This window comes from Homo sapiens, chromosome 10, assembly GCF_000001405.40.
Source record: "Homo sapiens chromosome 10, GRCh38.p14 Primary Assembly".
Classification (NCBI taxonomy): Eukaryota; Metazoa; Chordata; class Mammalia; order Primates; family Hominidae; genus Homo; species Homo sapiens.
The window spans coordinates 59,167,658-59,181,939 of NC_000010.11; the positions used below are offsets into that span (position 1 = coordinate 59,167,658).

At 37.6% G+C, this 14,282-nt stretch overlaps 1 protein-coding gene and 1 long non-coding RNA gene across 6 annotated transcripts in view; one reads left to right on the top strand and one right to left on the bottom strand.

Annotated features, from left to right (window-relative positions):
- The first annotated feature begins 5,939 nt into the window (after positions 1-5,939).
- Positions 5,940-14,282, top strand: part of PHYHIPL (phytanoyl-CoA 2-hydroxylase interacting protein like) — a 74,174-nt gene continuing 65,831 nt past the window's right edge. For 2 of the 5 annotated variants that reach the window (XM_017016783.3, XM_011540276.4), the window contains exon 1: positions 5,940-8,418. Coding sequence is in view for 2 of the 5 variants with exons in the window: in NM_032439.4 (NP_115815.2) it covers positions 9,197-9,302 (106 nt within the window). In the remaining 3 variants the exon portion in view is untranslated. Of the gene's footprint in view, positions 8,419-8,985; positions 9,303-9,506; positions 9,962-14,282 lie in introns of those variants that run through there. The other 3 variants (XM_011540275.4, NM_032439.4, NM_001143774.2) reach the window with 2 other exon arrangements.
- CCEPR (cervical carcinoma expressed PCNA regulatory lncRNA) lies at positions 6,306-8,807 on the bottom strand. The gene has a single exon (NR_131782.1). It is a non-coding gene; the product is annotated as a cervical carcinoma expressed PCNA regulatory lncRNA (long non-coding RNA).

The window sequence follows — 14,282 nt, forward strand, 5'->3', positions numbered from 1 at the left end:
TTTTTACAATCTCAGAAACACAGTAGCATAACATCACTCTCTCAAGTCCATTTTCTTTCCATACCCAGTTAAACTATCCTGGTTTATAATCTTACAGTTTCTTGCTGGAATGATAATAATCTCTTCTAAACTCTAGCCTTCTTTCAATTCTACTCACTCTATGAGACATAGGCAGATTAATCTTCATATTACTGCTTTGTAATTGTCACATACCTGCCTTAAAAGCTTCGGTAGCTCAGTATTAACTACGGTACACAAATAGCCATTGTACCTTATTGAGCAAGTTCTGATTAACAAAGTGTTTTAGTGGGTTGGTCTTAGAAGCAGCATAAAGAGAGGTAGGAAGACTATATACATGGTAATTTCAATAATGTTAAAATCGTGAGAATATGGCAGTAGTGTTACTAATTCAGAAAAAGGCACATATCCAAGAAACAGTGAAAAATTGTAATGATTTTGATGATTGTTTGATTTAAAGAGAAAAAGAGAAAATCAGAAAGTTGGGTAATATAAGCTAAGAAGATACTGCTCCCAGTAACTATAATGCGTGAAATTAGAAAAAGAAATTAGTTTGGGGAAGTAATTGATTAATTAGAAATGATTATAGGAATGCAAATAAAAATTTTCATTAGACAGTCAGAAATAGGGCAATGGCTTTTGTTTAGAGATAGGGAGTTGAGACAGGAATCTGACAATAAAGGTGAGAATTTAAACATTAAGAGGAAATTAAAATTCATGAGAATTCATGAATTCTCAGAGGAAACAGTTTTAAACAGAAAAGAACATAATGTCAAAGGTTGAACTTTAAAGTACACCTACACTCAAGGGGGTAGCATAGAAGCTAGAGTTGATAAACAGGAAGCACACATATCAGAAGAGATCCAGTAGAGTTTAGCACTACAGAAGTTCAGCAGAAATAAACTGCTGAAATATCAAAGAGGATGCAGATGATAAAAGGCCTTTACATTTGGTGATATGAAAATCTTACCAAATCCAAATGACATTTGAAGAGTAAGCAGGGTGCTGAAGATTGCTGATACATTGTATGAGGATAAAAAGTAAATGGAAGCAATGAATACCACGTTTATAGCACTTCACATTTTATAATGGGCCCCTTCCATACATTAGAATATTAAAATTGGACAATAACTGGTTCAAGTAAGATAGTTTTTAAAATCAAGGAGATTTGGCAATGTAAAAAGAGAAAGAAAAGAGAGTCCGGAGAAAGAGAAAGACTGAAGAAGCTAGAGGGGAGAAAAATAGGAAGCTATGTCTATCCTGCAGTACACAGGCACTGAATGAAGAGCACAGATGAGGGAAGGAGAAGTGACAAGTTACCGGAACCTACTGAGCTAAAGATAAGAGCAAATGAGCAACTTCATTCTGCCTTCATTTTTCCCCCCAGGAAAGAGAGGGTGGGATCATTTTAAATTTTAAAAAATATTTTGACTGATAAAAATTACATGTATTTAGGATATACCTTTGGGTATATACCCAACAGAGGGATTGTTGGATCATGTATTATATTTTTAATTTTTGGAGGAACCCTCATACTGTTTTCTACAATGGCTGTACTAATTCACATTCTCACCAACAATGTGCAGGGTTTTCTTTGCTCCACAGCCTCTCCAACACTCGTTATCTTTTGTCTTGTCAATTAATAGCTCTTTTAACAGGTGTGAGGTAATATATTATGGTTTTAATTTAGATTTTTCTGACATTTAGTGATTTTGAGCATTTTTCATATACCTGTTGAACATTGGTACGTCTTCTTTTGACAAATGTCTATTTAAATCGGGCTGTTTTCATAAATCGGGACTGTTTCCAATTGAGTTGTTTGCGTTTGTTATATATTTTGGTTAGTAGCCCCTTTTAGGACGTATGGTCTGCAAACAATTTTTCCCCATTCCATAGGTTGTCTCTTCATTCTGTTTATTGTTTTCTTGGCTCTGCAGAAGCCTTTTAGTTTAATGTAATTTCATTTGTCTATTTTTGCTTTTGCTGTTTGTGTCTTTGGGTTTATGCCCCACCCCCCCCCGCAATTACCAATGTCATGAAGCTTTTCCCGTTTCCTCCTATTAGTTTTATAGTTTCAGGTATTTAAGTATTTAACTCATTTTTAGTTGATTTTTCTATGGTGTGAAATAAAGGTCTAATTTCATTTTTCCACATGTGGATATCCAGTTACCCCAAAACCATTTATTGAGGAGACTGTCCTTTCCTTATTGTGTGTTCTTGGCACCTTTGTCAAAAATCAGTTGACTAAATACATGGATTTATTTTGGGTCTCTATTCTGTTCCACTGGTCTATGTGTCCATTTAATGCCAGTAACATGCTGCTTTAATTACTCTAACTTTGTAATATAGTTTGAAATCAGGAACTGTGATGCCTCTGGCTTCGCTGTTGCTCAAGACTACTTTAGCTCTTCAGTTTGTGTGTGTGTGTGTGTGTGGTTTCATGTACATTTTAGGATTGTTTTTTCTATTTCTGTGAAACGCCTTTGGAATTTTGATAGAGATTGCATTGAGTCTGTAGGTTGCTTTGGACAGTGTGGATATTTTAACACTATTAATCTTTCCAATCTATCAAGGTGGGATATCTTTCCATTTACTTGTGTATTTTACAATTTGTTTCATCAATATTTTACAGTTTTCATTGTACAGATCTTTCATATCATCGGTTTAACTTACTTTAGGTATTTTATTCTTTTTGATGCTATTGTAAATGGAATTGTTTTCTTGATTTTCAAAAAGTTTGCTGTTTTGTTGCTGTTGTATAAAAACACCACTGATTTTTGTATGCCAACTTTGTATCCTGCACCTTTACTGAATTTTTAAGTTCTAAGAGTTTTTTGGTGGAGTCTTTATGATTTTCCATATATAAGATCATGTCATCTGCAAACAGAGATAATTTTTCTTCCTTTCCTATTTGCATGCCTTTTTTCATTTTCTTGCCTAATTGTTCTGGCTAGGATTTCCAGTAATATGTTGAATAGAAGTGGTGGGAATGGGCATTCTTATTTTATTCTTGATCTTAGAAGAAAAGCTTTCAATATTTTTTTTTTTTTTTGCGACGGAGTCTCGTTCTGTTGCCCAGGCTAGAGTGCAGTGGCGTGATCTCAGCTCACTGCAAGCTTCGCCTTCTGGGTTCAGGAGCCATTCTCCTGCCTCAGCCTCCTGAGTAGCTGGGACTACAGGCGTCCACCACCACGTCCAGCTAATTTTTTGTATTTTTAGTAGAGACGGGGTTTCACCGTGTTAGCCAGGATGGTCTCGATCTCCTGGCCTTGTGATCCACCCACCTCAGCCTCCCAAAGTGCTGGGATTACAGGCATGAACCACCAAAAGCTTTCAATTTTTCACGATTAAGCATGATATTAGCTATGGGCTTGCCATACATAGTCTTTACTGTGTTGAGATGCATTCCTTCAATGCCTAATTTGTTAACGGTTTTTATCTTGAAAAGATGTTAAACATTGTTGACTTCCTTTTCTGCATTTACTGATATGATCATATGGTTTTTGTCCTATAGTCTGTTAATATGGTATATCATATTTATTTATTTGTATGTTAAATCATCCTTGTGTTTTAAAATCCTCAATACATTAAACCATAAAGATAGTCTAAATATGAAAGTTCTCAGTTTTTAAGAAGTTATGAAACTATTTCCATAAATTTGTACTGTAAAATTAACCAAATATGCTTTCTTAATGTCGTTTTGGTGTCCTACAGTAATAATATCCTAACTTTTGGGGGTGCTTTATAGTTCGTAATAATACTTTTATATGCATTATGTTACTTGATCTTCACAAGTCCCAATACTTCTTGAGTCAGGACAAACAATTTAGAATATTTGGATTGCTTTCAACTGTGTTTCTATTGATTATGAGTTTTCCTTTGCCCTTCCATTTACAATAGGGCTTAGGAAAAGTTTCCATAGTGTTATGAGAGGAAATAAGATGCACTCATTTATTATGCATTTTGTGGAGTTTGTTTCTGTTTGGTTTTGGTTCTTGGCACCCTCTGCGAGTCATAAAATCCTTAGTTGTGCCAGGGGTTGTGGGTCATTTTATTATGAATAAGATAGACCTATGGACTAGCCTACCAAAAGGACTGTGTAGCCTACTTTGATAAAATCCTAGGCTAGCTGGAGCAATATAACTAAATACATTCGAAGTATCGGAGTTCACTAAAATAATTCAGCAAATTGTCCTAAGTATCTTCTCTTTGCAAATACTATAATATGTGCTTAAAATCTACAGTATCACAGGAGAAATAAGAAATGTTCACAGAAGTGATACAGGATTTTTATGTCTTTGCAAGCTCAGAATATGTGAGCAGAGCGATATTATTGTCAAAAAAACTAATGGGCTCCTGGGCTGCATTACAAGATGTCTGGCACACACAACAAAGATGGTGTTACTCTACTGTGCTTTCTTTTATATTCTTATTATATTTCCACACCTGGTGTGTTTACCTATGGACTCAGAAAAATTGGAGTTATCTAGAAGAGAGTGTGTAGAGTGACAGAGGGACTCAAAACAATGGGATATCACAAACATTTGCAAAAACCGTGAGTATTTAGGCAGATATTTGAATATATATGTATAATAGGAAGGATTATTATTCTGTATCACGAACAAATCGGAAAATTAAGGCCTTTGTAGTGCTCTTATAGGAGATATGTTTGGGCTCAGAATGCGAAAGACTTTGGATAACTTCATGAGGATTTTAATTTAATATTTATTAGGAGATAAATAACTTCTTGTCAAGGGCTTTGACATTGGATAAGGTATTGAATTAGATATATTTAAGTCCCTAAAATTTGATTCTGATTCTTCATGTACATTAATAACTTATAAATCATAACATGATGTCTGTAACAGAACTATAAAGCCCCACAGAAATACAACATAAAGGTTTTTGACAGAGGGAATCATTTCAAAAGAATGTAGCATACGAGTTGGGGCTCGGATGATTGGTAGGATTTTGATTGTAATAGCAGACATCTCAAGCTAATGATTAAGTGATGTTGAGTGTATGGGGATTGCAACTACACTGCAATTTAGGTACAAAAAGGTAGAATTTTCATTTTGTCTAAACTGATTCGATCATCTTCATGAAATCTCAGTCACTGACAAACGGGAGGGGAAATAATGTGTTTTTATTCTAACCCAGAAACCTGGGTTCATTCAGTATTTTAAGCAGTTCCTTAAAGTTCAAGTTTATTACGTTAAGACCCTCAGTCTCTAAGATTTCCACCTTTCCCCTACATCCTATTTTAGATAGTATCTGGAAATATCAGATATCCCTAGATACCATTACCTGAGGCATTGGGACAAAGGGTCATTTGGTTTGAACAGGTTCTTCTGCCTCCTCTGGTCTCTGAGGTGACATTCCTCATATGTCTAGTTGCTTCTGGTCTTTCACTTGAAGTTGGTAGCTAGAGAAACTCATGGTCTGTGCTTCAGGGCCTTGCGGCCATCTCTGACGGACGGGTCTCAACTCTTTGGTACTTTAGACATCCCTGGTCTAGAAGGTCCACTCCATAGCCTTTGCTAAAGTGTCACCTTGCTCTTTTAACAAAAAACTTCAGGGAAGATTGGATAGCTCTCAACTCAACCACGTTCTGAGTACTGTTGGAGCCAAGAGAACACTTCCGCTTAGCCCTCTGAAGGTTAGGTGAAAATTACTGACAAGAGGCAGATGAAGAGGAGAAAAGGCATACAAATTTATTTGATCATAGCTTTACATGAAATTTGAACACCACATTTCCAACATAAGCCTTCAGAATGAAGACCAAAGACACAGGGAAAATTGACCATTTTAATCCTTAGGTTCAACAAGGTATGAACAGTCATGAAGAAATATGACTGGACAAAAGGGATATGACCTAATACTAATAGATTGAGTAGGGAAACCCAGAAAGGCCTGTCTGTCTAGATTCTTCTTGACCTGTCTGAGCATGCACTTCTTCCTTTTGGCTATGTGGCAGGGCCCTCTCTGGAATGAGGATCTTATGACCTTCAGTTAAACAAGGTAGGTAAGATAATTTCTTTATGGCCAGTTTTTACACAGAAAAGCAGAAGAAAAATTAGAGTAATATTTTCAGATTTTATGGCTGGCTTTGGGGAAAAGGAATTGTGGTTTCTATAACCCACGTTGGGGAACAGGGATTCTAGTTTCTTATAGCTAGCCTCAGGGGAAAATGAGACTGAGAGGCTGAAGGTCAGAAGATGAGAGGAAAAACTTTTACTTCTGAGGTTTTTTTTTTTTTTTTTTTTTTTTTTTTTTTTTTTTTTTGGGGAGGAGGGGAGTATTGTTTTCTGAGTCTCAACAGTACATAGAAACTTACAGCACTCTGGAAAGTCAATGCCTACCCTGTCTCCGCCCTGTTCAAGGTTACTGGAATGTGGTTCCTGCTCAGCCTGATATCTTCCCAGATATCTGAGAATTGGGAAAGTAATTTCTCTGTCCTTGAGTTTTCCCACACCAATCTGGATATTTCTAAAGCCACAACCCCTCACCCTACATCTTCAGGGTGGGAACAGTAAAAATGTTTCTGGTGTCTTTCTTGAGCTCTTCTACCCCTTTCCCGTAATTCTCCAAGCCAAAGAGAATAGGATTTTCTTCTACTTTACCTACTTCATAGCCACCACCTTCCTTATATCAATCTCTGACTAAATCCTTCATACTGGACTAAGATACCTTGTCTTTACTATGGGAGAAACCCTATCATTTGGTCCACCAGGCCTAGCCTTGATATGTTGAACCATAAACAAATTTACATTTTATGTCTTGACAATGCCTCGATTTGAAGCCTAAAAACTCGATTTAAAAAATCCTATATTTAATATCGAAAGTTAAAAAGTAAATATTTCTTTTGTATTTTTTATACAAGAATCCAAATCCTCAGCAGAAAGGTGCCTTGGATTGATTAAGTTGTATACCCAGAAAGTGACATTAATACACTTCTTGAAACATTACCCTTTCCGATTACACAAATATTCTAGCCGACAAATCTGATCATGCTAATTTCCTATTTAAAGCCTTTTTAATAATTTCTCATTCCCTTAAGATAAAATCATTTTGGAGATCTTCCTGACCATCTAACCTAGGTTATAAACCTCGTGCGTGCTTCTACAAGCTCCCATACTTCCTCTTTCTTAACACCCATCCTACTTTTACTTTTTCAATATATATCTTTCTTGATAAATTTGAACTCCAAATTTTCAACACATAGCACAGTGTCCTGGACATAGGTGCTTCATAAATATTTGCATGAGTTTGAATTAAATGCATGTCGTATTTCTTACTTGAAAATCAGTAAATTGTTATTCTAGTTTACACAGTTCCTTTTTTTTGAGATTTATAAATTTGAGACTACTCTAAAAAATGAACCCACTGTTGGGCTTACAATACCAATTTCTAGTTCTACAGAGCCAGGCTTTCGAACACAGAAAATTCACCAGTAAGTACTTTCTTGTCATATCCTTTGACAGGTAATAATTTACCCTCTCCTTGGGGACACCCCTACCTTAAGACAAGAATTCTTTCAAACTTCAAAAACATCCATCTTCATTAATAAGTTCATAATGAAGACTTTTCACTTTAAGATGCCTAATTATCTTTCACAGATATTTATGAAATTTCAATTGTGCCAAGATTTTTCACAGGCTTATTTTACTTTAAGCTGGTCCTTCCATTTATTGAAGCTTCAATTAATTAGACTTCATCATGTTATAGCTAAATGGATGTGACTAGAAAGAGCAGCATACAGACATCTATGTGTAAACTGTTACTTGTTGGTTAACATTTATGTTTGAAATGGAAAATCAATAAAAGGGAACTTATATTAATTTATAAGCACATTAAGAAAAGAGGGGACACTATTTTTGATCCCAAGATAGCAACAAAACTAAAAACTTTTCCAAAGAAGCAAACGGGAACAGAGGTCAATAGGCTGTGACCTCTATTTTATGTTTAAAACGTTTGCACATCCACTAAGTGCACTGCAGAATCTTAAATGCAATTAAAATCAATGGGCATACAAGTTATAGAGTAGCTTGAGGAAGCACAAGTCAATCTTCATTAGCTATTGTAGCAAAGATTCCTTCCAAATCCATGGGAGCAGGTGCTGTTTATACTCCCTTCATTGACGCCCAGAACAATGGCATAGGGTGAGCATTGAATACTTATTTGCTACGCGCATGAATGAATGAAGCTACGCTGCGAAGGCAGACTGCGTGGCTGCTGGTCCCGTGGCTGCTGGCCCCGCAGCATGTCTGCCGCCTTTTCAGCAGGCTTGCTGCATCTCCTCATTCCCTCACCTTTCTGGCAGTAAGGAGTTCCCACGTTTGCCCCGCTTCAGTGTCGTGGACTGGCAAAATGCTGTCTCTAAACCCCTCCACGCCTCAGGTAATCCGCTCATTTCTCACACAGACGCAGCTGTTTCCGAGGAATGTCCGGCCGAGCCCGCAGGGTGCGGGCAGCGAGTATCCTGGGACCTTCAGGGGAGGAGGTGGCTCCCACACCCCAATACCGTACAGAGAGTCCGAAGAGTCCGGGCCCTTATTTTTCCAATTCTTGGTAAACAACAAACATGCTCGCCCTCGCCTCCCCGTGCAGACGCCTCAGGGCCAACTCGGGCTTCGCCAGGCACCGAGAGCAGACAGAAGACGCCAAATGGCTATCACCAGGAGAGAGGGCGAGGCAGCCGCGCGGCGTATAGCGCTCGCCCTTCCCGCGCGCTCGGTCGCCCGACGCCTCACGCGCGAGGTTGCCTTGGCAGTGGCTGGAGGGCAGGTGGGGGCGCGTGCGCGCAGAAGGGCGGGGGAGGGACCACCGCGCGCCAGCAGGTGGGCGCGTTCTCCCGCGCGCGTGCGCGCGTCGAAGCCCTATACATCACGTTCCCCGAGAGCAGCGTCCCCTCCCCGCCGGGAGCGCGCGCCTCCCATCCTCGCGCCGGGTCCTGCTCGGTCTCTCAGAGCCGCACACTCCGCGGAGCTCCTGCCACAGCCGTCGCCTTCGCGGCGGCTCTCCAGCCCCGCGCCTCAGCCTCGGCGCCGCATCACCGCGTCCCAGGCCTCCTTCCCTCCCTCTGCCACTCCCCCTCCCTTTCCCGCTCTTCTTGCCCACCCGGCCGGCAGAGAGAGCCTGGATACGAAGCAGGCGGGCTTCAGAGTGGGTTGGAAAAATGGAGGTGCCGCGCCTGGATCATGCCCTCAACAGCCCCACCAGCCCCTGTGAGGAGGTGATCAAAAACCTCAGCCTGGAGGCCATTCAGCTGTGCGACCGGGACGGTAAGAGCGGCCGGGACCGCGAGGAAAGGGACAGAGTTCGCGCCGAGGCGCCGGGGCCACTCTGGCTCCGCCGACGCCGCTCGCCAGGGCGGCAGGGTCTTTTGTTGTCCCCTCTGTGCAAATAAATGCAGATGTGGGTTACCCTCCGCCCACCGCCCTCCCCTCACCCCAGAAACAAAAGGACCCCGGGGCTCGCGCCTTGGCGCGGAAAGTAGCCGTCCACAACCGTGGCGCCCTTCGCCGCCTTCGCCCGCCTGGCCCGGACGAGGGCGACGTTCCCGCTCGCGGCTCCTGCCCCGACGAGGCGTTTCCGATCTTTGCCGCAGTCCGGATTTCCTGGGTCTCTGGGCACTGAAGGGGAAATGCCCTCGGGATGTTTCTAGCAACCCCCTTCCCCCAACACACACACACTAGTTGGCATTCTCTTCCAGAAACTTATCATTTTCTTTTTTAAACCTCCCATCCTCAGACTCCCCAAATTAACAAGTCTTTTTAGCCTCTTGGATTGGGATTAGGATGACAGTTTTTCAGTGAGGGCGCAGAAAAACAGTGCATTTCAGCACCAAGGACAGACACAATCTTCATGGTTCCTGGGCTCTGAGTCAGACTGTCGAAAATATTGGCCTAATATATGTGCTGTGATTCAGACTTTGTGGCGAGTACGTACCATTGCGTGTTGATATTATATCGTTTATTCTGTTGTTGAAGTTGGCAGGCTCCTGTGGAAGGAAATTGATTGAATACAGGTCTGAGCGTTGAAGACATAAGCTAGTGCTGTGTGCGGTGTGGTTAGTTACAGTGCTTCTGGGTTAGCTGGACTAGTTAGAGTCTGCTACTTTAGTAATGTGGTACAAAACTTCATTTGTAAAGAAATCATTTGATTAGTAATTGGTTGGCCGAATAATTGTAAAATTCTACATCTGACAAAGGAAACACAGTTCACATGTTGTTAAGAGGGCCCCAAATACTTTTGACTGTAAATGAAATTAATGTTTAACTGTATATAGAGGTAATGATTGTAAAACATGTCTTTAACCAAAGTTATGTACAGATACTAATACGCTCACAGTAAGGTCATAAAATTTATCAGCCTAATCCAAATAGGGAGCAGAGGTCTTGTTTCCAAAGTCATTTAAATGGTAATCACTTGGTTACGCATTGCTATTCAGCACGTTTATATCAAGCAAGCACCGAATTTGTTTATTACTAAATTTTATATTTATTAATATAAATTTATATTTAATAATTTTGAAACCAGAATTCAAACTTTTTGAAACCAAAACCACTTTAATTTCTGATACAGGTGTAGTATATGAATAAATAAATACGTTTGCAAAGACAGCTTGTATTTCCTTTATTCTTAGACTGTTTTAGTCACCATGGTAGTAAGTGCACATATTTATGGTATCTAAAAACATTTATCATTTTGGTATTCCATATGTAAGCTTGCATGATTATAGACTGTAAAGATTATTTTTAATAACGCATAGGAAGTCATTTGGATTTTAGTTTAGACTTTTATGAAATGACTTTTTGTAATGTAACCATTGCAAGTTGTAAATATTTTTATTTTCTTAGGGTTGAGAGAAACACAAGACTAATAAAAGTAGACTTCATTTTTATTTATTGCAATGATAAAGCAAAAGCTCATTCTTGTACTCAATGGAATTAGGCATTCATTGTTGCTCTTCAGAACCCAGTAATCTCAATACTTAAAACCGCATTTACCACGTGTTTCAAAGATATTAGGGAAAATTTAAACTTTTTAATGAAGTTCACAGAGTTAAGAGAGTGCAAAAAATAATGCTGTATTTACTGTGATCCCCTAGAGGAGTAGCTATTTTATTCTGGTATTATTTTTTAGTTGTTTCTTTTCAAATTAGGAATCCCACAAAATGAACAAATTATGTAACATTTAATTTTGGGGAGGGTGCTGGCACTAAGTAACATCTATGAAAATTACTATTTGCAGACTTCCAAGTAATTTACATAGACTAATTAAATAGGGTTTTATTTTATAAAATAGTATACACCAACAAATACAAAGAGCTAACTCTTCTACTAGAAGATGTATAAAATTTGGAAATACTTTGTTTAGAGATGTTGTTAAATGCTTAACTTATTTTGTTATCCTATCTTACATGTCAATTCCAAAAATATTAACTTGGTTGGCTTCAAAGGGATAATTTAGGGGGAATAATGTCGTTTGTTTTTAATAGAACAGCATATGAAATGTTGCATTAAATTTGTCAAACAGACCTTACTTAGCATCATTTTGTATTGAGAGATTTTCAGCTAGTTGCTTTTTACTCCCTTTGCTTCCCTCCTTTCACTTTCTTTCCACTCAAGTCTCGTTATTTTACTTCTGTAACTATGTAACATAGAAAAGGATGTGGCAGAATATGGGACAGAAGATCTATTTTGTGTTTAAGTACCTAATAAGAGCTATATTTCATAATTTATGATAGAATACATTTATTTTGTTTGCTCTTTTCTCACTTTCTTTTAATCTACTGTTAATTTGGTGATGAAAAAAAATGAGAGAAACATTAATTCCCTGGAAGTGGAATAAAATAGAATAGGGGAAAGTATAGTTATGTTCTCCAATCAGAGATATTTTTAATTTTATAATGTTTTCATACTGTATCAACCAAGAGTTATGCCTGCTGGTGAACATAACTGTATATCTCTCTTATGTTTCATTGGATTTTTTTGTTTTTGTTTTTGTCTGTCACTTGCCTATTTTCCTATGAATTGATGATTACATTATAAACAATAATTCAATTTTTTTCATAGTTTCTAAAAATATTTAATAGTTTCTGAAGAATATGGGTTAGAGTCCACATGGTCATATAATTGGCTTTTCAATTAAGCAAGACAGTTACACACACACACACACACACACACACACACACACACACACACACTACCTCATGGATTGTCTTCCCTAGGCATGTGTACTTTGTTTGCCAGGACCTGGTCCTTGCCCAGGTATTACTCTGAAAATATACTGTAAATCCAGAGGTTTCTATTCCTATTGCAAGTAGAAGAGTATTTTTGTTTCTCCATCTCTGCTGTGCTGAAGTATACTCAAATTGCATACATGATGTACTTTTATTATGACTTTTCAAATAAAATGAAAGAGAAAATTTCTTGTTTGGAAACAATAATATGGGAGCCCATTTACAGTTTGATAGATACTTCAGACCTTCACTGACCTGTGACAAGACAAAACAGCTCCCACCCCACACACAGAATTTTATATTACTTGTGCTTTTCGTCTTTTAATCATATATATACACACACACACACACACACATACACACACATATATAATATATATATATAGAAAAAGTATATATATATATATATATATATATATATATATATATATATATATATACTTTTTCTTCCTCGTTGAACAGGAAAGATTTATCTACATGTTGCCTTACATGTATCTAAGCTGCCTCCAGCTTTGTTATAGTAAGGAAGAAAATACATAATTAATTTGTTTTAAAACATTTAAATCTACCCTCAAGGCTTCGTGGCTTTAACAAATATTATTTTCATGAGTCCGGCACTTTATGACTGTCCAGATACGGTATAAACCATAGGGTTTATGATGTAGTCAGCAAGGAAACACATTGGAAAGAAATTACACAGAAGCTAACAGATTTCCTTGTCTTTGTCTCTAACAATACTTACGTGGAAAAAATGGAGGAAAAAAAGATTTTATCTCTTTTACATATTTAAAAAGATAAATTTCTTTGAATGTTGAGTTTATCAAATTTATTTAAATTATAAGTCAATTAAGACCTCACTTATGTTATTGGCATGTGGATTAAACAAATTTTAACTTTGGAAATAAAAAGTAACAAATGCTTAATAGCACAGTGATGTTAGATAATCCGTAATGGCATTTTCTGAAGCAGACATCTAAGAGGAGTACCCATAACTGTTAACTTTAATAGTCTTTATTACAAGAATGTAAGGTAGTCATTACTCAGTCTCAGTGACATGCAGTGTAGCATAGTGATAATACCATTTTAGATCAGACCACCCCTGTTAGAATATTGGCTCTTGAAAGCCGTGTAACCTTAAATTACTTAACTTGTTTTAGCCTCAAGCTTTCTTATGTAAAGTGGGTATAATACCAATCCTGTAGGATTGTTTAAATAAGTAAAGCATTACTTTCATAGAATTTACCAGTGTTGATATTAATACAAAATAGACAGTAATAATTATTATTCTGAATGGAATATTGTCCACGTAACTTCTTGAATTGAACCACTGCTTTTTAAAATTTCTTTTTTGCCAGTGTCTAGGTCCTTGTCGTTTTTCTTAATTTCAGTTACATGTTATAGGAAATCACTTCAACTTCATGAGTAATTACTATAATCTGTAAATTCTGAATTTTAAAGAATAGTAAATTTTGAAATCACAATTATAGTACTCTTATCTTTTACTTCTCTTTTACCATCCTATCAGTAATATCTTTATCACCTTAGCCCTAAAAATTGTTTTCAGTTTCTAGTTCAAATCTGTCATTTGCTATTTTTCATGTGGCTTGTAACCTTGATGGTTGCTTTGTTTAGGTATTTGCCTTAGAGCCCTTCTCTGTTCTTAATTTACAATGTTTTTCTTTATTAACTTTTTCCAAGGATAGACATGTACTAGGACACGTAGCATGTAGATTAATTTCTTTGGCCCAAATATGACTATAGAGATATTAGTGAGTATGAAACAAAACAAAAATAAAATAAAAACTAAAAGAAACAAAAAATTTGGAAACCATCAGATTGTATTAAACCAATTCATATTCTTGGTAGGGTTCTAATTCATTCCCAGGGAAGACCAGGAAGTTACTAGAGCAAGTTACATCAAAGGATATGTGACCAGACTCCCTCCAGTGGTAGAATGACTGATGTGTTGTATGTTTAACGCTGGCAACTTACTTTGTTGCCTAGGTAGGCCCGGTCA